The sequence below is a fragment of the Homo sapiens genome, chromosome 3 (assembly GCF_000001405.40).
Source record: "Homo sapiens chromosome 3, GRCh38.p14 Primary Assembly".
Lineage (NCBI taxonomy): Eukaryota > Metazoa > Chordata > Mammalia > Primates > Hominidae > Homo > Homo sapiens.
The window spans coordinates 23,827,634-23,852,007 of NC_000003.12; the positions used below are offsets into that span (position 1 = coordinate 23,827,634).

Below are 24,374 nucleotides of genomic sequence, written 5' to 3' on the forward strand. Positions count from 1 at the left end.
ATGAATTATAGACCTTCTTTTGAGTTGTTGATGTTAAATTTTACTCATATGCAGAGCTGTATTTAAATTTAAAAAGAGGCTTATTTTATAACATAGCCACTAATATTTTTCATTGGAATTGCCATCTACCTCTACTTGTTCTCCAGTGTAGATTTAATTCTTATATTCTTTTGTTTAAAAATCTAAGGTCCTAACTGCCCTTAGAATTAAGTGCCCAAAATCTTATGTAGTATTCAGATCCCCTACAACCTGATCCCAGCTTTTATATTTCCATCTTATTTCCTCTCTCTGTAACTTGCTGTTTTCAGTATGCCCCCTAGGATGTTCTCTCTCCCAGCTTCTTTGCTTTTTATTTTTCAAAGCTCTGATAAAAATGATTCACTCCACACAGCTCTCATCTGTGTCCCAGGGCACTTTAAATACATACCTCTTTAAAACATTTATCACATTGAGTTACGGTCATTTGTGTTTGTCTCTCTGTCAAGACCGAGTTTTTAAAAAATATGATTATTTTTATTTCTTGTACCTAACACCAGAAGATGCCTAAAAAGTATGAATGATTACTGAAACAAATTAAAATACAGCATTTAGTAGTAGTTGTATAAATGTTACCAGTTACTTCATTTAGATGTTACCATCAATCACAGAAACATGTAGGCTGAAGCAATGAAATCATAAATACAGTGTTTTAATCTTCCATTGTGTAAAAAGATCAATTTCTATATTGTATGTAAATGTAATATAACATTTTAAATATAGGTTTAATTTTTGAGAAGATACACAGTATACTTAGTGATTAAAAAGTTAGGTATTTAAATCTATGAGAAAATGGGATCATTATTTGGATATTTACCAGTGCTAATCGAAGCAGTTGCTGGTAAAGGCGTTGGAGTTGATGCATATAGATAGAAGTTACTTTTGCAATAAAACATTAGAGTCACCATCAGAACAGAAGACTTGAAAAATTTTATTTGACTCAAATTACAAACTGAGCATTTATGGGTGTCTGTGTGTGCATAGCACTGAATTAGATCATCTGGAGATACAAAAGTGTGATAGATGCTTTCAATATAAAATAAACGTTACATAGCTACTGAACAAGACATTATATAAAGGTTCGTTAATGACCTAAGATGTAAATTTGTTTATAATTTTTATCATAGTTCAATTTCATCTAAACCTTATGTGATTTCAGTGTTTTCCTCAGATTTGTCTCACACTCTAGTCTGGTGATTTCCAGGCTTGTGCCTGTCCCAGCACACCTAAGGAAGAGGGAAAATGTCCATCAATAAGTAACAGGGGTTTACTTTCAGTGGACAGGGTGGATGGAAGGAGAGATTAGCAAATTTGGGGTGAAAAATAAAAGCCCTCCAGTGGTTCTGACAAGCTGTAGCTAGAGGGGGGTGGCAGTTGCAGAAGGGGCAGTTTCTCCGTCTTGTATTTTTTATTTTTTTCTTTGATTCTTGAAAATAAGTTCTTATTTTTGATAAGATGGAGGATTATTATTATTATTATTTTGAGACAGGGCCTCAAAAAAAAAAAAAAAAGAGAGGGCCTCGCTTTGTTGCCTAGGCTGGAATGCAATGGTGTGATCATAGCTCACTGCAGCCTTGAACTCCTGGGGTCAAGCGATCCTCCCACCTCAGCCTCCTAAGTAGCTGGGACAACAGGTGCACTCCACAAAGTCCAGCTTTTTTTTTTTTTTTAATAGAGACAGGATCTCACTATGTTGCCCAGGCTGGTCTGGAACTCCTAAGCTCAGATGATCCTCCTGCCTCAGCCTCCCAAAGTGCTGGGATTACAGGTGTGAATCACCACACCCAGACCCAGCTGTTTTCTAAATTTTTTTGGAGAGGTGGGGTCTTGCTGTGTTGCCTGGGCTAGTCTCAAACTCCTGGTCTCAAGCAGTCCTTCTGCCTCAACCTCCCAAAGCACGGGGTTTACCAGTAGCCTGAGCCCCCATACCTGCCCCTCTCCTGGAAAAGTGCTGAAGTGGGAAAGTTTACAGATTTAGGGAGTCCAAGGAAAAGGTTGAGGTCGAGCTAATAAGAGAAGGAGAAAGGAAAGAGGAACTGAGAAAGGAAAGGGGTCTAGAAGAGCGGTTAGAAATGGGGACTTTGGTTTTCCCCTCAGGCTTAGCTCACTACTTTCTATAAATAAGAGATGTCTGAAAGAGAAGCAGATAAAAGGAGAAAGCCTTCAGCAAATTTGTGAGTTGATAAGCATGGATTGATTGGCTCTGTTGGCCTGGGTTCTTGAGGAGTTTGCTGCTATTTCGGAATTTCTGTAGAGAAACCCTGGCATTGTCAGGATATGGGTATGCCACATGTTTCCCTTCCTCCCCCTTCCCTCCACTCCTTCTTATTACCTAGCTAGCTACACCTGGAATTTTGGTTCTAGAATAATTTAAAAGATACTTTGTCAAGAAAATATCTTTGGAAAAATCATGCATATATTATTTTTCCTTTTTTCTTTTTAACTACTTCCTGGTTCTTTAGGCTCCTCTAATTCTTACATGCATGTGCTTGATCTCTGGGCCATGCTTGCTTCTAGTTAAGTAGCCTTTCAGGATGGTGTTTAATTTATTCTGAGCCCTTTATAATATCCCCTGACAAGAGCATGGAGTGGATAGAGGGAGTCTTAGTCAATATGTATTATAAATAGATTTAGGGTTCACAAAGGTCAGCAGCCTTCATCTCTTGCCCTACCCCCATCACACACAAAAATAAAAATCACAAATAATAAAGGATTTTAAGAGTTATACCAGTCGGGAGTGGGTTCATTTTTTTGTTTTTGTTTTTGTTTGTTTTTGGCAAGCTGAAGTCATCTGTTGGATCCAAAAATGCATAAAAATCTTCAGGCTTATAGAACCAACAGCATCAAAGGAAGAGCAGTGTGACTCAATATTGGGGTGGGGGCAGGTTTGGGGTTTTGGTTGTGTAGAAGCTCCTTATGAGAGAACAGTGTGATGCTTGGAGCTGTGGAGAATCCAGCCACTGCTTTTTCTCTCTTCCTTACCTTATTACTCTTCTTGATTCACCTGGATGTGGAAACTGTCCCTGTTTAAGAGTGGCCTTGTCAATGCTCTCTGTGTATCATGTGTACAGTAGGGAATGTGTCAAGCCAGATGAGTGGTCTCATTGAAACATCAGCAAATCAGTATATCGTAGAATTTAGATCCCCCTTGGAGGTGGTGGTGATAGCTAACTTCTGTTGCGGTCTTAACTGTGGGTCAAGTTTTGTTCTAAGGACTTTGAACATTAGAAACTCATTTAAAACTTAAACCATTCCTGTTGGTGGTCATGTAATCCCATTTTACAGATTATGAAATCAACATTAAGGTTATGTGCAGCTTAGTAAGTGGAGAAGCCAGAAGAACCCACGTGATCTGGCTTCAGGGCCGATACTCAACCACTGTACTTTGGAGAGAATTAGTCATTCTGATACCACTTTTGTTATTAGCTAAGACTCTTTATGTTGCAGGTAACAGCAGTCTAATTAATTCATTTAAATAAAAAGATAATATTATAGGGATATTTGAGTGTGTGTCTGATAACCCAGGAACTGAAATGTTCTGGATATCAGAAACAACAGAAACCAGGAATTCTCTCCAACTCTCATCTATGCTCTCACTCCAAGTGCGCTTTATTTTTTCTCACATCGCAGATTGCTCCTGGCTGCCCACAGCCTGCCTGAAGAACATGACCACAGGCACCCAGAGAGAAACTTACTTTTGGCCAGTTGTAAAACTCTTGGGCGAGGGACCAGTTAGTCTAACTTGATTGAGTTTTGGATCAGTCAGCTATTTTGGTAATTAAAGTGAAAGGGTCCAGATGACACTAATATTGGGAGCTAGTTTGACAAAATATTTAACAAAATGAATACTTTTTTTTTTTTTTTCGAGACATGGTCCCACTCTGTTGCCCAGGCTGGAGTGCAGTGGTGTGATCACAGCTCACTGCAGCCTTGATGTCCCAGGCTCAGGTGATCCCCTCCCACCTTAGCCTCCTAAGTAGCTAGGACTACAGGCACGTGCTACCACACCCAGCTAAGTTTTGTATTTCTTTTTTTTTTTTTCTGTGAGACAGAGTCTCACTCTGTTGCCCAGGCTGGAATGCAGTGGTGCGATCTCAGCTCAGTGCAACCTCTGCCTTCCAGGTTCAAGCCATTCTCCTGCCTCAGCCTCCCAAATGCTGGAATTACAGGTGCCCGCCACTATGCCTGGATAATTTTTGTATTTTTTGTAGAGGCAGGGTTTCACCATGTTGGCCAGACTGGTCTTGAATGCCTGACTGAGCTCAGGTGATTCGCCTGCCTCCGCCTCCGCCTCCCAAAGTGCTGAGGTTACAGACATGAGCTACCATGCCCAGCCAAATACTTTTTTCTAAAGGAAGAAAACTTAGTCATTTATTTAGCTTTAATAATTGGCTTTTTGAGTTTGTTCAATACTTTAAGCTCTGTGAGCATATGGATCATGTCAGCCATCTAGCACAGGGTTTAGAAAACAGTAACTGCTCAAACTTTTGCTGTGAATGAATGAAGGAGCAAATGAATGATTTTCCTGAAAGGGAAATAAAAACAGAATTCAGTTTCTGATCATTGTCCAGGGAATGGCTTGGACACAAATAGTTGACCTGTTGGAAGAGAATATACATTTTTAATAAAGGAGAAGGGACTGTGTTTTTCCTGGAGGGAGGAGACCTGTAAAGAAAAATATAGAGGTGTGGGGGGCTGGGCGCAGTGGCTCACGCCTGTAATCCCAGCACTTTGGGAGGCCGAGGTGGGCAGATCACCTGAGCTCGGGAGTTTGAGACCAGCCTGGTCACCATGGCAAAACCCCATCTCTACTAAAAGTACAAAAATTAGCCAGGCGTGGTGGTGGGCACCTGTAATCCCAGCTACTCAGGAGGCTGAGGCAGGAGAATCGCTTGAACCCGGGAGGTGGAGGTTGCAGTCAGCCGAGAGAGAATCGCTTGAACTCAGTGGGTAGAGGTTGCAGTGAGCTGAGAGAGAATCGCTTGAAGCCGGGAGGCGAAGGTTACAGTGAGCCAAGATCTTGCCACTGCGCTCCAGCCTGGACAACAGAGCGAGACTTTGTCTCAAAAAAAGAAAAATACAGGGATGTGGTGACTCACACCTGTAATCTCAGCACTTTGGTTAGCTAAGGCGGGTGGATTGCTTGAGCCCAGGAGTTTGAGACCAGTCTGAGCAACATGGTGAAACCCCCATCTCTACAAAACAAATTTTAAAAAATAATCCAGGTGTGGTGGTGTGCCTGTCATCCCATGTACTTGGGAGGCTGAGGCAGGAAGATTGCTTGAGCCCAGGAGATTGATGCTGCAGTGAGCTGTGTTTGTGCCATTGTACTCCAGCCTGGGCGACAAAGTGAGACCCTGTCTCAAAAAGTGGGAGAAAAAGAAAAATATAAAGTATTCAAGTTAATTTTAACTATATAACACCATACCTTTTGGTCAATTTTTCAATTTTTGTCCCTTTTCTCCCATTTTTCCTCAGTCTCCATATATTTGTCTCTTAGCACTTCCTTTTATTTTCCATAACGTACCTCTCAGTAGAGTATAAAATGGAGATATTTTTTATTTTTAAAATATGAGTTTTGTGTTGCTTGTTCCTAACCTTAAAAAATGATTGGTATATGGTATGTGCCTTTCTTGACAGTGAACTATTTGATAGTCATATATTTAAAATTAAGAATTTAATAGACCTTCCCACTAGGGAAGCATTTGTTTCCTAGGCACCTTTGGAAGGTGCTACATTAATGAATTAGTTTTATTATTTTAGATAAATTGTTTTTCCCTATTTTTAGAATATTAATAGAGTCAGGTTGGAAGATACAAATAAACACTGATTCAGAACGCCACATGAGAGTCTGAAAGCCATGTCATAGCAGTAGTTAAACAGAGTATTAAATGCAGATGAACAAGATGTCGGAAAGCAATGGTAATGTTAGCAAAGCTAGAGAGAAGATAATTTCTTATATTTTACAGCAAATGTTGTTGTCTATGTAAAGAAAATTATAGGCATGACTGTGAAGAAATGAGGTTTATTTAAGATGCCAAAAGTGGCTGGGCGTGATGGCTTATGCCTGTAATCCCATCGCTTTGGGAGGCCAAGGCAGAAGGATTTCTTGGGGCTAGAAGTTCAAGACAAACCTGAGCAACACAGCGAGACCCTATCTCTACAGAAAATTTAGGAAATTAGCTGGGCATGGTGGCATGTGCCTGTAGTCCCAGCTACTCGAGAGGCTGAGGTGGGAGGATCACTTGAGCCCGACAGGTTGACGCTGCAGTCAGCCGTGTTTGTACCACTGCACTCCAGCCCTGTCTCAAAAAAAAATAAAAATAAAAAGATGCCAGAAGTTTTGTATCAGAAAATTTCAACAGTGCAAAAAAGCCTTATGGTAAAAAATAAATAAAAAGAAATAAAATAAAACTTCAAGAGGTTAACTCTTGGTCCATTATTTAAAACATTTTTTGAAGTGTCTTTGGACAAGGCCTTTTACAGCTCATTTGTGATAGTCATACAGTTTTCTTTGCTGTAATAAAAGCTTGGTTTTGAGTCTCACCATTGAGTTCAAATCTTAACTCTGCCTCTTGATGGCACTATAATCTTGGGCAGATCATTTAACCTCTAGCAGCTTTATTTTCTCATCTATAAATCAGAGCTAATAACCCCCATCAAATTCTCCTTCAGAGGACAAATGTTTGTCACCATTTAGGGTGATTTTTCTAAAATATGTCTAATTGTTCTACTTGCCCACTTAAAATTCCCCCATCTTTCTCACATAACCTCTGTAGCATGTCCCATTACTCTGTAGCTTTTCTGTGTTTGCTTCTAACCTTCCTTCCTCCTGTGCTTTTTCCAAGTTCTTTTCCCTGAACAGCACTGCTAGCTGCTCCTGGCAGCTTTTTATTTAAAAAATGAAAAAAAGGCCAGGTGCCATGGTTCAAGCCTGTAATCTTAGTGCTTTGGGGAGCTGAGATGGGAGGATTTCTTGACCCCAGGAGTTTGAGGCTGCAGTGGGCTGTGATTGCATCACTGCACTCCTTCCTGGATGACAGAGCGAGACCCCGTCTCTAAAAATAAAAAAGGAAAAAAAAACTTACACTGCTCTTTTTAATACTAGGAAAGCTCTTTGAGATTAGAAATTGGCTGATGTTTTTTCTTACAGTTTTGTTTTATAAATTTTTTAACTTAAAATATTAATGTAATGAAAGAAATCACTTTGGAGGAAATTTAAAACTAAAATGAATTCATACTGAATTATGTTTTAAGACTTGTGGTATTCCCTGTAATGCATAAAAAGCAATGTGAGGAATCACTGCTCAAATTGATAATGTTTAAAATGGAGAATAAGAGCATAGAAAAAAAAATACGGGACTAATTGTACAATATTTTAACATTTTTAGGTTTTACATATTGAGTTAACCTGATCACCTACTTGAAGCAGTCTAGCATTAACTGTTAAATGTTTAATGAAGTAGTTCTCAACCTTGGCTGCTATCTCAGTTACATGTAATGTTTTAAAAAAATGCAGGCCAGGTTGGGTGGCTCATGCTTGTAATCTCAGCACTTTGGGAGGTTGAGGCAGGAGGATTGCTTGAGCCCAGGAGTTTAAGAGCAGCCTGGGCAGTATAGCAAGATCCTGTCTACAAAAAATTTAAAAATTAGCTAGATGTGCTGGTGCGCACCTGTGGTCCTAGCTACTCAGGAGGCTGAGGTGGGAAGATCACTTGAGCCCAGGAGGTCGAGGCTAAGTGAGCTAGGATCATGCCAGTACACTCCAGCCTGAGCCACAGAACAAGACCTGCCTCAAAACAAAAACCAGAACAAAAAACAGTCACACCAGGGCCCCATCCTATTGGAATCATCTCTAGGGGAGGTTCCCACACCTGCATTAAAACAAAACTCAGAAGCCAAGGGTAAGAACCAAGGAAGTAATGTATACTTTTAAAGTAATGTATACGTTTTAAAATTTGCATACAGTGTACCTCTGGTAATTTCCAGGCTTTTATGACATATAATCATCAATTATTCAAAATAAAAAGTGAATCAATTTTAGAAACTCCCCTCCTCCCCCCTTTTTTTAGACATTAGAAGTTAAATCTCACGGTTTACCTGTATCAATTTGCAGATTATTGTTTGAAAAATTCTGGTGAATTGAGACTGCATTAAATTTCTCTGGATAATCTACATAAATAATCCTCAAAATAAAAGGTTCATTTCAACACGTAATAGCTTTATATTTAAAGGCATTAGGAAAGGGGGAGGCAGGGAGGGAAAGTTAGCATCTGTTTCCTGTGAGTTTTAAGCTATTTCTAATAACTTCTTTTCAGCTGCTGCTTTTATGATCTAGTTTATGGCACAGATAAGATATATATTTCAGAAAAAATGTTTTGAGCTTTTGCTGTTGATGTTAAGATTACGATTTTTCTGTTAAATAGGACATTTGGAACAAGAACTGTTTAGGATATAGATGAAATACATTGAAACAGCAAGAAGTTAAAGCATTTTAAAAAGCCTTGTGAATAAATCTTTACAAGAGAGTTTTTATAACTAAAGTTAATAGGAATATCTAAAATGAATATCCAGCTAGTAAAATTAGCCATCCATTCATGAATTTAGGAAATAACTGATTTAGAATGCTATATAAAAAAAGAGTTTCTCTTTTCACTTAGTCCTCACAAGTTTTCACCTATAATGTATTTACTCATTAAACATCAGATGTCTTCCACATGCCATGTGCTGTACTGGGGAAGACATAAACAGGAGAGACTAGGTCCAGACTCTGTTGGAGCCCTTAGTCTAGGGGAGTAAGGGATTTTAAGTAAGCAATAGAAGAGATGTGTGTGTTCCTCTGAAAACTGCAAGGTATTTCAGTGAGGCAGCTCTTTTGTTCTTTTTCCAAAAGAGTGACATTGGCTTTTCTTGGAAGTTTTAGAGCTGAAAGGGAACTTAGATCTAGTTCAGTTCCTCATTTTACAAATGAACACACTCAGATCTAGGGAAGTGAGGTGACTTTCCTAAAATGGCTCAGCTGAGGACTGGTATGGTTGGGATAGAACATGGGTCTTCTGATTCTTAACCATTGTACACTCTCTACCGTGTCCCTCAGGGGCATGTGAAAGTAAATGACATATGACAGACAGAATCATGCCCAGGAATCTATTCATTCTGCACACTATGATTGATCTAGTTTATGTTCTCTTTGTGCTAGATGGTGGCATCACTCATGATGAAGAAGATAAAGCTCTTGTTAAGTAGTTTATGGTCTATCATGAAAAGATGGGCAATTTGGGAAATCTGTGGCTTGTTAACTTGTTTGGCATATTGAGTAACATGGCAGGTTCTGGAGCCAGACTGAGTTAAAATCCTAGCTCTCACATAATAGCTATGTAATTTGGGGAAGGAACATAAATCTCTACTCTGTTTCCTTATCTGTAAGATAGGGATAATAATGCCTACCTCATAGAGTTTTTAGGATTTAGAAATGTATATAAAGCACTTGGAACAGTGCCTGGCTCACAGTAAGCACTAACACTAACAAAAAAGTTATACTATTATTTTCACCTCAGTTATACAGGTGAGGAAGTTGAAACATAAAAAAGTTAAGTAACTTGCCTGTGATCATAAAGCTAGAAAGTTTGGGAGCCAGAATTAAAATACAGGAGTCTGAGTGCTCTGTTTAGATTTAGGACCTGAGCCAGGGAGTGTGTTCCAAACCCAGCACTAATACTTGAGAAGCTCTCAAAACTGTAAGTATCCCCAGGATACTGGTGTCTCAAAAAGATAGTAATGTGTTAACTGTAAGCTATTTAGTGATACATTTGCTTTCTTCTGCAGAGAGGAGGGACTGAATTTTGGGACTGTTGCCTGCACCATCCCAGTCCAACTTGCTATGTGTTTTTATTTTTAGCCATTGGCTGATTCCAATTTGAAATTCAGAGGATTTGTGATATATTATGTGATATGTTTTAAAAATTACTAGCTCCTTGCTGCATTTTATAAAGCGTTGGAGATAGTTTTTCTTTGGTTGGCTGATTGGTTTTGGTGTTTTGTTTTTTAGAGGACTAGCCTACACCTGGTTTGAGTAAGAAAGTTTTGTTTGAGAAGCAGCGTTTTTACCACCTTCAATCTTTTGAGGAACTTTTGGCATGTGGAAAATTAAATACTACAAACTTTCAATAGAAGGTAGACAGGTAATATGGAGAACTGAGAATTAGAAATCTTGACCATGCTGTTGGGAATTTCCCTTTTCTTTCTGCTTGTCCACTAATCTGCATTGCTTATTAAAACAGGTTGATACTTTTAAGGCTCTGCAAAGAAGTTCTTTTCATTGGTTAGTATCTAATAAGTGATAGCTGGTACAGGACTTTAAAAATATATAATAGGGGTTTATTTTCTTTATTTTTATTATTTATTTTATTTTTTTTTGAGACAAGGTCTTGTTCTGTTGCCCAGGCTATAGTGCAGTGGCACAATTACAGCCTACTGCAGTCTCAGCCTCCCGGGCTCAAGTAATCCTCCTACCTCAGCCTCCTAAGTAGCTGGGACTATAAACGTGAGCCACCACACCTGGTTAATTTTTGAACTTCTTGGTAGAAAATGTTTCGCCATGTTGCCCAAGCTAGTCTTGAACTTCTGGGCTCAAGTGATCCTCCCTCCTAGGCCTTCCAAAGTGCTGGGATTACAGGCATGAACCACCATGCCTGGACTAGCGGTTTCTTTTAAACAGCATATAATTGGGACTTGCTTGTTTTTCCAATCTGACAATCTTTGCTTTTAAATTGGAATGGTTAGACCATTAACATTTAATGTTATTGTTGACATGATTGGATTTATTTATTTATTTTTATTTTTTGAGATGGAGTCTTACCCTGTCACCCAGGCCGGAGTGCAGTGGCCTGATCTCAGCTCACTGCAACCTCCGCCCTGCAGGGTTCAGGAGATTTCTCCTGCCTCAGCCTCCTAAGTAGCTGGGATTACAGGCATGCACCAGCACTCCTGGCTAAATTTTGTATTTTTAGTAGAAATGGAGTTTCACCATGTTGGCCAGGCTGTTCGCAAACTCCTGAGCTGAAGGGATCTGCCTGCCTCGGCCTCCCAGAGTGCCGGGATTACAGGTGTGAGCCACTACCGTGCCAGGCCTGATATAATTAGATTTAAATTAATTTTCAATTTATCCTATTTGTATTTCCTTTTTTCATGCTTGCTTTTGGGTTGAGTTTTTTTTTTTTTAATGATACTATATTAATTAATTTCTCTTCTGTATTACCAGCTATAACTTTTTTTGTTTGTTTTTTAGTGGTTGCTTTAGAATACATCTTTATAGAATACATCTTTAGCTTATCACAGACTACGTTCACGTGATAATTATACCCCTTCACCCACAGCGACCCCTCAACAATCCCTCTCCCAGCATTAGTGCTGTTATTGTCATATATTTTATTCTGCATGTTATAAACCCCAAAATATATTGTTACTATTTTTGCTTTAAACATTATCTTTTAAGAGATTTAAAAAATAATTTAGCCGGGTGCGGTGGCTCATGCCTGTAATCCCAGCACTTTGGGAGGCTGAGGCGGGTGGATCACGAGGTCAGGAGATCGAGACCATCCTGGCTAACACGGTGAAACCCTGTCTCTACTAAAAATACAAAAAAATTAGCCGGGCATGGTGACATGCGCATGTAGTCTCAGCTACTTGGGAGGCTGAGGTAGGAGAATCACTTGAACCCAAGAGGCAGAGGTTGCAGTGAGCCAAGATCACTCCACTGTACTCCAGCCTTGGCAACAGAGAGAGAGTCTGTCTCAAAAAAAGAAAATAATAATAATAATAATAATAATTTAAAATTTTATATTTTCCACACATTTATTACCATTTCTGGTGTTCTTTTTTTCTTTGTATAGTTTCAGATATTCACTCACTGACATCTCCTTCTGCCTGAGAGACTTCCTTTAACATTTCTTGCAGTCAGGTCTGCTGGTGACAAATTCTTTGTTTTATTATGTCTGAAAAAAATCTTTGTCTTTTTTTTTGGAAATGTTCCTGTTGGATATAGGATTTTAGGCTGACAGTTTTGTTTTTTACTTAAAGATGCTATGTAACTGTCTTCTGACTTGCATTGTTTCCAGTGAGAACTCTGTAATCCTTAGTTTGTTTCTCCATATAATGTGTCATCTTTTTGTCTGGCTACTTTTAAGAATTACTCTTTATCACTGGTTTTACACAGTTAGATTATGATATACCTTTTGATGTAGTTTTTTTATTTTTTGTATTTCTTGTGCTTGGTGTTTGTTCAGTTTCTTGGCTCTATGAGCTTATAGTTTCATCATATTTGGAAAGAAAGTTTGTTTTCTGTGTTTCATTTGAATAATTTTTATGGCTGACTTCAAGTTTCTTATTTTTCCTTTGCATAGTCTAACATGCTGTTAATTTCAGTATATGTTTAATCTCAGTTGTTGTATTTCTTCATATCTGGAAGTTTGATTTGGATCTTTTTATAATTTCTATGAGTCCACTTACCATGGTCAGGTATTTATCATTTTAAATTTATGATTACAGTTATAACAAGCGTTTACTGTCTTTTTGTCCACTAATTTCATTATCTGGGTCATTTCTGGATCAGTTTCTATTGATTGGTTTTTTACCTTATATTTTCAAGCCCCTGCACATGCGTGATAATTTTTTGTTGGATACCAAACATTGTGAATTTTGCCTTTTTGAGTGCTGCCTTTTTGTATTCTTAAAAATATTCTTGAGCTTTGTCGTAAGGTGCAGTTAAGTTGGAACTTAGTCTGATCCTTTTGAGGCCTGCTTTTAAGCTTTTAAGGCCTCCTTTTGAAGCCTGCTTTTGAGAGTGACCAGAACAGCTATTAAGGCTAATTTTTACCATTCACTGAGGCATCACCATTCTGAGTATTCTGCTGGATGGCCCATAAGTTACCAGGGTCTTTTTCTTTCTGACTAATGGCAATGCAAACTATTCTCAGCCCTGTGCGAGCTCTGGGGAGTGTTCTCTCTGTTCTCTGGTGATTCTTTCCCTGGCATTGCGTAGTGTCCTCTCATGCATGTGCTAATTCATGCTTAGGTAAATACTTGACGGGACCCTCTACAGATCTCCGGAGTTCTGTCTCTGTGCAGCTCTGGTACTTGTGAACTCTGACCACTTAGGTTATTCCTTCCTGCACCACAGGCGATTGTAGGTCTCAATATATTTAGTTTTCCTTTCTCAGAGATCACTGCCTTGCACTACCTGATGTCCAGTGTATGGAAACTGCTGTTTTATATATTTTGTCAGTTTTTTTGTTGTTTAAGTGGTAGGGCAGATTTAGTATCTGATATACCATCTTGGTTAGAAGCTGAAGTGACTTTACAGCCCATGATACTTTTTGTAAATAAAGATTAGTCGTTAGAAAACAATACTTTCATGCTGTTTCAGCTTTTATACATCTATAATGATATTATTTACTTTTAGAGATGCGGGTGAACTGTTTGAAAAGATTGAAAAGATATAAAGAGTTATTGGATTCTTTACATCATGAGCGAGGAAAAAAATTAAGCTCGTCTTAAATGGCTATGTTTCAATTTTATCTGCTATAAATGGGTAAGAGTTAGATTTTATTTAAAATTCATCTTGGCATTTAGAGACTGATACTGTTTCTGGCCATATCAGCTGAACTGTGTCATTAGAATTTTTAATTGTTTTAGGGTTTTTTTTTTAAGAATAGATGATTGATTTTTTTCTGTCTCTCTACTCTTCTTACTCAGAATTAGATGTGCTTTGAGCACGTATTAATTCTAATACGATTAAAGGTCAAGCCATACCACAAGAATATTTATATTATATGTGTTGATTAGAGTTGGACTTGTAATGGCCGCATTGTTAGAGATTGCATTTCTACTTTCCATGAATTCTGTTGGATTTGCAGATAAAATGTTTTCTGTCTAATAGGGAGAAAATATAAATATCATGCATTCATCTCTCATACTTTTTCATGTATCATGCCATTCACAGTTCTAGGATTCTGGAGCCACATTTGTAGCCACCATTAACCAAAACAAAAACAATCCCACATGACTATTACCTTTGAATTCAGTATTGTACTGTATTATTCTGACACAGAAATTTGAAATCCAATGGGTTGGTGAGTGAAAAAGTCACATGCAGCTGACAGTCACAGTTTTTATATGACTCTCCTAGATCTTTTTGTTTTGTGGACGTATGTTTGGGGGTAGATGGTTTAGAGTTCTATTAGGAGAGAGATGAAGGTATTCTAGGTGAGTGTTGAGTGGCTGACTGCTGTTAGAGGGCAAAATGGGATAATCTTTTACAAAAAACTTGAGGTACATGATTTAGTACTTTGATTATCCTAGTGATTGTTACACTGAATCAGAAAATGCATTTACCTTAAAACCTTTATTGTAACTAGGTGAAAGTAAATGTGGTGTAACTTTTGGTTTGACTATAATGGGCAGTGGAATCTCAGATGTTAGGATCAGGTAAGAAGAAAGATTGAACTATGTCATGACCCAGTAAGTGAAGGGGTGTGTGTGTGTGTGTGTGTGTGTGTGTGTGTGTGTGTGTGTGTGTGTGTGGTGTTGTTGTTGTTGGCGACAGGGTCTCAATTCGTCGCCTAGGCTGGGATGCAGTGGTGCAGTCACGACTCACTGCAGCCTCAACCTCATGGGCTCAGGCAGTCCTCCCACCTCGCCTCCTGAGTAGCTGGGATGACAGGCACATGCCACGATTCCCAGCTAATTTTTCTATTTTTTTGTGGAGACGGAGTCGTGCCATGTTGCCCGGCCTGTTGTTCGTTTTTCTTTGAAGAATATACCTTTTTATTTTATTATCATTTGCTATAAATATCACTAAACTTTGTCATCCTAAGTGAGATAATAAGGCAAGATATTTCAAGGCCTCCTTTTGTTATGTAAGCTGAATTCATAGCTTGAGGAAATAAGTCGGAGTCTCATACCTCTGTGTCAACACTGAACAGCATTTTTTGTGACGTAAAATCTCATTATCACAAATTACAAGTGCGCTATTCGGTTTTTAAAAATTTTAATTTTGGTTTTTGAAGTCACACATAAGTTTTTATACTTTTTGAGGGAATAAAGATTTCTAATTGTACAACAGTAAATGGAATAAACAATAATAACTTTGAGTCTTCTGGAATAGATGTTCAAAAGATCAAATTTTCCATATCTCTGTAATCTAACTATAACCTCTGAGGGCAAGGGCTTGTTTTATTTGAATAAAGAACCCTATAGTAGCATGATTATGGTAGTTATGGTATAACTTTATACCATAAAATATCCCATGTGCTATTATACTGTGGCATAGCATATATACTATATATGTTACAGTTACATATAAAAATATATATTATAGTAGTATATAGTATGATTATTTGGCTTAAAGCTTTTTTTTTTTTTAGCAGGAGCATAGTTCAAGGACAATTTTTTTCAGATTAAAATGGACTTTCTTTGGGAAGCCATCTGTCCCCCCAGACTAAGTTTTGTTGAGAGTAGTGACAGGGACAGAGGCAAGACCATTAGGTTACCATAATACCTGGACTTAGTTTGTATAATCGAGGTTAATGCCAGTCTTGTTGACTGCAGGACATACAGTTCCTAACATATTGCTTAGCATATAATATGTGTTAAATATTTGTTGACATTCGGAACTGTGCACAATGTTTTATGAGTCAGGACCATTGAGTTGCACAACTGTGGCACACCATTCACATAATGATAATATAGATTTTCTCAGTTCTGAGTTTGCTTGCTGCATAAATGTCTTAAGTCTTTGGCACCTACTGCTGTTAGAATATAGTGGCATTTGAACACACAATTAAGTATTTAGCTTATGTTACACATAATCAACTTTCAATAAATGAGATCTATAATAATTTGCCTACTCCACTCTCACCTTCCACAGTCATTTCTCCCCTGCTTCCTATTGGTTGTTTTGTTTTGAACCAGCACCCTTCCAACTCCCCCAGAGCATCCCACATCATTAGCTTCACAAGCATCTTCCATACCAGTGTCATCTTTAACAACTGTGTGGCAGTTTGGACAATGACAATCCAAATGACCCTCAGATGTATTCTAGCTATTCTTGACTGCCTTCTGGAGTCAGTATTTTCAGCCAAACAGTGAAAATTAACAACAAACTGTGTCCAAAACTTAAAACTTAATTCTTCTTTCACCCAAATGCTTTTCCTGTGTTTTTATATTTTTATCTCTTTAATGTATTTTTTTCTGGTTGCCCGAGTTACAGATATTGCCATCTTTATCCTGCAGTTGTACTGACTTAACGATATCTTCTTGATATTTCTTCCACCATGTGTAATTTTTTATGCTCTTAGGGCTCCTTTAATGAAGGCAACTCATATGTAAAATGGGAGTATGTAAAAATAATTTGTGGGAGAGCCATGTGGGTGGGGTTTGTGAGTAGTCTCTAAGGCGCAGGCTACAGCTAGCTAGCCTAGTGTTTGTGAGCCCTCCCCTTCCCCCAGTAAAGGTTGATTCCTTTTTCTCCTCTTTCCTGCTTGTTTATTTTATTCTATTTTATCCTCATTTTCTACTTCTGCCCCAAAAGCACCCATTCTAATGCCTTTCACTATATTGTTTGTGTTCTTGTAAAATGTATTTAGTGTTTGTATTTTTAACTTACATAAATGATGCCTAATTCTTTCTTACATTTTTCTAAGCACAATGTTTTAAGCTCTCTCCCTGTTGCTATGCAAGCATCTAATTCATTGCGTTGAACAGCCACATAGTATTCCAAGGGGTATACTCATTTTATCTTATAGAAGACCAGATCGTTTCCAGCTCTCCATCCCCACTAACAGTGAACATTCTGGTCCGTAATCTTTTTTGGACCTCTGTAAGAATTAAGCAGAACTGCAAGGGGATCATAGGGCTTACTTAAATTTGATTTGACTTAAGTTGTACCAGATTGTTCCCCAGAATGGCTGTACTCATCTCCATGCCCACCAGTAGCAGAGCATGAGAATTCCTGTGTCCTCTTAGGTGCGTTCTGATTTTCTAATTTTTGCCAATCATACTCTACACTTACATATGGAGAATATGTTCATGAACATGTAGGTCAGTCTTAGGTGTTATGCGTGGGAGATGGGTTGTTGCTCTCCCAGATATGAAGACGTGCTCCAATAATACTACACTGTATTTATTACCGTAGCCCTGTGGTAAGGTAAACAGACCAATGAAGCTGACTTGGAGCACCCAGAGATGGACATGTGTATATGTAGGATTTTAATATATAATATATAATTTATGGCAGCACCAAACACTGAGGACAAGATGGGATTGTTCATAGATGGTATAGGGAAATTGACTCACCACAAGGAGGTAAATAAAACCGGATTCCTACTTAATACCATATATGAAGGTAGACTAGGTAGATTAAAAGCTCACATGTGAAATTTTAAAACTATACAATGAAGAAAGAAAATGCGACCCACAGGCCAGGAAGGATTTCCTAAGTGTAGCTTCAAAATCACAAATCTTGACAATAAACTAAAGCAAATTTTATGTGAAATTAAAATTTTCTTCTTAATGGACAGGATATTTTCTTCTTTTTACCTCAAGATCTGTGTGTCTGGCAGAATGCATTGCACACTCTTCAGGAGTGGGGAGGCTGAATTGGCTATGCACATATATACTCTCTTGATAGAAGGAAGAAAGCCTCTGTTTACCAAGTTGCCCCCATTTTATTTAGCAATGAAATTGTAAGCCACATGACAATTCCCTTTTTCTAAGCATATGTAGGAGTAGAGTGTAGATCAGTGTTTTCTGAATATATTGTCTGTATCAGAATTACTTGAGGCAGTTGTTAAAAATGGAAATTCCTCTTTTGTCCATCTCCCCACTGTTTTGGTTTCTCTCTCTCTCTCTCTCTCTCTCTCTCTGTGTGTGTGTGTGTGTGTGTGTGTGTATGTGTGTGTATGTATATATATAATTTTTCTTTTTAAACAAAACCTCTCTAGGGTGGAGTTTGGCAAAGTTATTTAGCAGAAGTCCAAGTAGTAAATATTCTAGGCGTCATAGGCCATTTGATCTCTGTTAGAACCGTTCAACTCTACCCATAGTACAAAAGCAGCCATATACAATTCATAAATGAAAAAATGTGGTTGTGTTCCAATACAGCTTTATTACGGACACCGATTTCAATTTAATAATTCAATATAAAATTTATTAATAGTTTTCACGTGTCATAAAATACTAGTTTTCTTTAGATTTTTTTAATCACTTAAAAATGTGAAAACCTTTCTTAACTAGTAGACCAAACAGAAACAGGTTGAGGGCCTGATTTGGCCCATGTGAGTCATAGTTTGCCAACTCTTGCTCCTTAGGCAACTAAGGTTTTCAAACCAGTGCCCTAGCTTATCTGATAGTTAACTGTCATTCTCTGTATTATTTGGGAAAAGTTCTTACATCAGTAACATGAATTTTCAGTACCTGTAAGAGAAAGTAGTTCTTAATGGTCAGGAAGGGATAATTAAATAAATGTCTTACATAAATCTAGTTTAAGGTAAATGTAATGTTGAAACATTTGGTTTTTTAAATTCCTTTTAAGCCTATTCAAGAGTGGGTAATAGAGCTGGGTGCAGTGGCCCATTCCTGTAGTCCTAGCTACTTGGGAGGCTTGAGGTAGGAGGATTGCTTGAGGCTAGGAGTTTGAGTTCAGCCTGGGCAACATGGCAAGGCCACAGTCTCTTAAAAAAGAGAATGGGGCCAGGTGCAGTGGCTTGCACCTGTAATCCCAGCACTTTGGGAGGCCGAGGTGGGCAGATCACCTGAGGTCAGGAGTTTGAAACCAGCTGGCCAACATGGTGAAACCCCATCTTTACTAAAAATACAAAATTTATCCGGGTATGGTGGCACATGCCTGTGGTCCCAGCTACTCGGGAGGCTGAGGCCCGGCAATCACTTGAACCCAGGGGGCGGAGGCTGCAGTGAGCTGAGATCGTGCCACTGCACTGCAGCCTGGGCGACAGAGCGAGACTCCATCTCATCAAAAAAAAAAAAAAAAAAAAGGGAATGGGTAATAGAGATGGAAAATGGAATGTTTAAGCTGTATTTAATAAGTCTTGGAGTATACCATTTGAGATGGAATTGTTAAAGATGGGACATAGAGAAACAGTCTTTTTAACTGCCTATAGTAAAAATAGCTAGGTGTTTAGCTACTTTTTTTTTTCTTTTTAAATCGATTTATCAAGATGAATAAATAGCTGCTATCTTGAAATATTCTAAGGGCAGGGGCCAGGTAGGCTGTGCGAGGTCAATATGTTAATCATGTTATTACACGTTTTAAGAAGATAAGCTAATTCTTGAAACTCACCAAAGAGGAATTCATTGTACAAAAGAATATAGTTTATCCCTAAATTTGATGGAATGGTCTTTGATTGATGTTATAAGAAGAATAGACTTATTTTCCCTTTGGTTCATCAGTAGGGCGATCATATAATTACTAATAATTACATCAGGGCAGTAGGCATAAACCAAGATTGTCTTGGGCAAACCAGGACATGTAGTGATCTTATACACCAGTCACATATAGTACTTTTAATATAAAGGGTAGATAAGTCTTTTAACTTCCTAGATGAAAAGAAGACATCCATTAATGTCATGACATCAGTAGTACGTAGTGAAAAGAGCATTTTCAAAGAAAAAAGGTGATAAACATTAGTATGATAACTATGACTGAAATGAAGCTTATTTTTACACCCTTAAGGGTAGAAATACCCTGTGGTATTAATAGTTTTAAAAATATATTTCATATCTGTGTGTGTACATGTACTTTAAATTTTTTTTTTTTTTTTTTTTTTTTGAGACAGAGTCTCGCTCTGTCACCCAGGCTGGAGTGCAGTGGTGCGATCTCAGCTCACTGCAAGCTCCGTCTCCCAGGTTCATGCCATTCTCTTGCCTCAGCCTCCCGAGTAGCTGGGACTACAGGTGCCCACCACCACACTCGGCTAATTTTTTCTAATTTTTATTAGAGACGGGGTTTCACCGTGTTAGCCAGGATGGTCTCGATCTTCTGACCTCGTGATCCACCCACCTCGGCCTCCCAAAGTGCTGGGATTACAGGCATGAGCCACCATGCTCAGCCTTAAAATTGTTATTTGGAAATAATGCACGTGATAGACAACTCAAAACAGTAGAAAGGGATATATAGAAAAAGTAAGTTTTCCCATTTCCAGCCCCAAAGGCAATAGCTGTTATCAGTTTCTTGTGCATCCTGTGTGAATTACTTTAGATATACTTAATCTATAATAATAGATTATACACCCCTTTCCCCTACCTCCTTTTTTAAATAAACACAAATGGTAACTTGCTGTAAACACTGTTCTGTACCTTGGTTTTTTAACTTCAGATATCTTGGACTTTCCCCAGTGTTTTCACAATAAACCTGTGCAGTAATTTCCTTATTTACAAATGAAGAAAGTCAGGCTCAGAGTTTAAAGTAACTTGCTTTAAGGAAAAACGTATATTAAATATCTAGGCTGGGCGTAATAGCTGATGCCTGTAATCACAGCACTTTGGGAGGCCAAGGCGGATGGATCACTTGAGGTCAGGAGTTTGAGACCAGCCTGGCCAACATGATGAAACCTTGTCTCTCTTAAAAATACAAAAATTAGCTGGGTGTGGTGGCCACATGCTTGTAATTCCACCTTCTTGGGATGCTGAGGCAGGAGAATCACCTGAACTCGGAAGATGGAGGTTGCAGTGAGCTGAGATCGTGCCCCTGCACTCCAGCCTGCGTAGCAGAGTGAGACTCTGTCTCAAAAAAAAAAAAACAAAAAACAAAAAACTTTAGCTAAGCAGGTACTTAGTAAATGTTAGTTTCCATCACGTTCTCTTACCCAAATATGTCCTTATGCTTAATAAGCTTGGAGGAAGATAATCACAATTTTAGAAAAAAAAATACAATATACTTAAATGCCCACATAATGTGATATAATCAGTAACTACCCTGACAGTTCAGATATGGGAGAAATCAAGTGGTTTGGTTGGGGAAAACTTCATAGAAGAATATAGAGAGATTAGGAAAGAATTTAAACAGAAGGCCAAAAGGGAGGGCATCTAAGAAAGGAAGAGGGAATAGCATTAGCAAGAAAGTCCTAACTGGAATCAAAGGGGGAGAGGTGTTGGTAAGCCAAGGGGGCCTAATAAGCAGTGAAGACCATGAGTTCATGTGGTCTTTAGTGAGTGGCTTCTTTCACTTAGTACAGTGTTCTCAAGGTTCATCCATGTTGTGTCATGTATCAGTACTTGATTTCTTTTTATGGCTGAATAATACATATTTCATTGTAGGGATATACCATGTTTATCCATATGGTGGACATTTGGTTGTTTCCACCTTCAGCTGTTAAAATAATGTTGCCATGAACATTCATGTGCAAGTTTTTGCATGGCTATATTTTATTTTATTTTTTTAGGAACCTGGGAGTGGTTTTGCTGGGTCAGATGTTAATGATTATGTTTAACATTTTGAGGAGCTGCAAAACTGTTTTCCTAAGTGCATTGTTTTACATTCCCATCTAGCCAGTTCCCATCTTGCTATTATCCATGGTTTTTATTGTAGTTAGCCTAGTGAGTGTGAAGTGTTGTTTCATTGTGTCTTTGATTTTCTTTCTTTTTAAAAAAATTTTTAAATTTCTTTTTGAATTTTACTTTAAGTTTTGGGATACATGTGCAGAATGTGCAGGTTTGTTACATAGGTATACATGTGCCATGGTGATTTGCTGCACCTATCAACCTGTCATCTAGGTTTTAAGCCCCTCATACATTAGGTGTTTGTTCTAATGCTCTCCCTCCCCTTACCCCTCACCCTCTGACAGGCCCTAGTGTGTGATGTTTCCCTCCCTGTGTCCATGTGTTTTCATTGCTCATCTCCCACTTATTTGTGAGAACATGCAGTGTTTGGTTTTCTGTTCCTGTGTTAATTTGCAGAGGATGATGGTTTCCAGCTTCATCCATGTTGCTGCAAATAACATGAACTGATTCTTTTTTATGGCTGCATAGTATTCCATGGTGTATATGTGCCACGTTTTCTTTATCCAGTCTATCATTGATGGGAATTTGGGTTGGTTCCAAGCCTTTGGTATTGTAAATAGTGCTGCAATAAACGTATGTGTGCAGTGTCTTTATAGTAGAATTATTTATAATCCTTTGGATATATACCCAGTAATGGAATTGCTGGGTCAAATGGTATTTCTGGCTCTAGATCCTTGAGGAATTGCCACACTGTCTCCAACAATGGTGTGTCTTTGATTTTCATTTTTAAAAAATGACATTCAGAATTGTATTTTTCTAATAGCAATGATGTTGAACATCTTTTTCATGTGATTATTGGGTATCTTCATTGGATCAAAATTGACATATTCTCATTGGAAAAATGTCTTTTAGATATTTTGCCTGTTTTATTAATAAAATTCAGGCTTTTTAATGGCTGAATTTTAAAAGTTCTTATTTATCTATCTAATATATCAATCTATTAAGACAAGGTTTCACTATATTGCCCAGGCTGGTATTGAACTCCTGGCCTCAAGTGATTCTCCTGCCTCAGCCTCCCAAAGTGCTGGGATTACACGTGTGAGCCACTGTGCCTGGCCATTAAAAATTATTTTTATTCCAGATAAAAGTACTTTATTAGATACATGATTTACAAGTGTTTTCTACCCTGTCTGTGGGTTGTCTTTTTATTTTCTTGATGGTATTGCTTGCAGTACAAAAGTTTGTGGTTTCAATGAAGTCCAGTTTACCTATTTTTCTTTTGTTGCATGTGTTTTGGAATTGTATTTAAGAAACCATTATCTACTCCTCTTTATTATTATTATTATTTTTTTTTGAGATAGGGTCTTGTTCAGTCACCAGAGCAGTGGTGCAATCCTAGCTCACTGCAGCCTCAAACTCCTGAGCTCAGGTGATGGTCCTGCCTCAGCCAAGTAGCTGGGACTACATGCATGCACCACTGCATCCGGCACACCTGATTGTTTTTTTTTTTTTTTTTTTTGAGATAGGGTCTCTTTCTGTCACCCATGCCAGAGCTGTGGCATGATCATGGCTGTCTGCAGCCTCAGGCTCAAGCAGTCCTCCCACCTCAGCCTCTCCAGTAGCAGGGACTACAGATGTGCGCCACCACACCCAGCTTTTTTTTTTTTTTTTTTTTTTTAAGAGACAGGGTTTTGCCGTGTTGCCCGTTGCCCAGATTGGTCTTGAATTCCTGGGCCCAAGCAGTTTACCTGCCTCAGCCTCCCAAAGTGCTGGGATTACAGGCATGAGCCACCATGCCCAGCCTATTCCTATATTTTCTTCTAAGAGTTTCATACTTTTAGTTTTTCGATTTGGATCAGTAATCCATTTTGAGTTAATTTTTGTGTGTGGTGTGAAGAAGGGTTCAGTTTCATTTTTTTGTTTGTGGCTATTCTTTTGTTCCCAACACCATTTGATAAAAAAGACTATTCTGTCTCCATTGAGCTGATTTGGCACTCTTGTCAAAAATCAATTTACCTGTAAATGTAAGAGTTTATTTCTGGGCTCTTAATTAGGTTCCATTGATCTTTGTATCTATCCTTTTGCTGGTACTACGATGTCTTAATTTCTGTGGCTTCATAGTAAGTTTTGAAATTGAGAAGGAAGTCCTCTAGCTTCGTTCTTTTTAAAGATTGTTTGGCTATTCTATGTTCCTTGCATTTCCATATGAATTTTAGGATCCGCTTGTCAATTTCTGTTTTTCATTTTGTTTTTTTTTAAACAGTCCAGCTGGGGTTTTTACAGGGTTTATGTTGAATCTGTACACCAGTTTGAGAAGTATTCCCATATTAATTTTAGGCTGGGTACAGTGGCTCATGCCTACTATATTCCCAGCACTTTGAGAGACCAAGGTGGAAAGATCACTTGAGGCCAGGAGTTTGAGATGAGCCTGATTAACAAAGTGAGACCCTCTTCTCTATAAAGAATAAAATAAGCCAGCCATGGTGGTGCACATCTGTAGTGCCAGCTAGTCAAGAGGCTGAGGTGGGAAGATCAGTTGAGCCCAGGAGTTCGAGGCTGCAGTGATTGCACCACTGCACTTCAGCCTGGGTGACAGAGACCCTGTCTCTAAAAAATAAAAAAAAAATTAAAATTCAGATCTGTACAGTTTGGATGTTTGTCCCCTCCAAATCCTGTGTTGAAATGTGATCCCCAGCATTGGAGGTGGGGCCTGGTGGGAGGTGTTTGGGTCACAGGGACAGACCCTTCATGTATGGCTTGGTGCTGCTCTCACGGTAATGAGTGAGTTTTCACTTGCTTTGTTCATGCAAGATCTCATTGTTTAA

The 24,374-nt window shown here is 38.4% G+C and overlaps 1 protein-coding gene across 4 annotated transcripts in view, besides 3 other annotated features; it reads left to right on the forward strand.

The window, feature by feature from the left end:
* UBE2E1 (ubiquitin conjugating enzyme E2 E1) overlaps positions 1 to 24,374 on the forward strand; it is an 85,686-nt gene that overhangs the window by 21,679 nt on the left and 39,633 nt on the right. The window lies entirely within an intron of this gene.
* Positions 1,777 to 2,206: an enhancer, noted in NCBI's record as "active region_19602". NCBI's record gives its function as "activates an Ori minimal core promoter by ATAC-STARR-seq in GM12878 lymphoblastoid cells {active_cell/tissue: GM12878}" and the evidence as "EXISTENCE:reporter gene assay evidence [ECO:0000049][PMID:35858748]".
* Positions 3,126 to 3,335: an enhancer, noted in NCBI's record as "active region_19603". NCBI's record gives its function as "activates an Ori minimal core promoter by ATAC-STARR-seq in GM12878 lymphoblastoid cells {active_cell/tissue: GM12878}" and the evidence as "EXISTENCE:reporter gene assay evidence [ECO:0000049][PMID:35858748]".
* Positions 3,856 to 3,905: an enhancer, noted in NCBI's record as "active region_19604". NCBI's record gives its function as "activates an Ori minimal core promoter by ATAC-STARR-seq in GM12878 lymphoblastoid cells {active_cell/tissue: GM12878}" and the evidence as "EXISTENCE:reporter gene assay evidence [ECO:0000049][PMID:35858748]".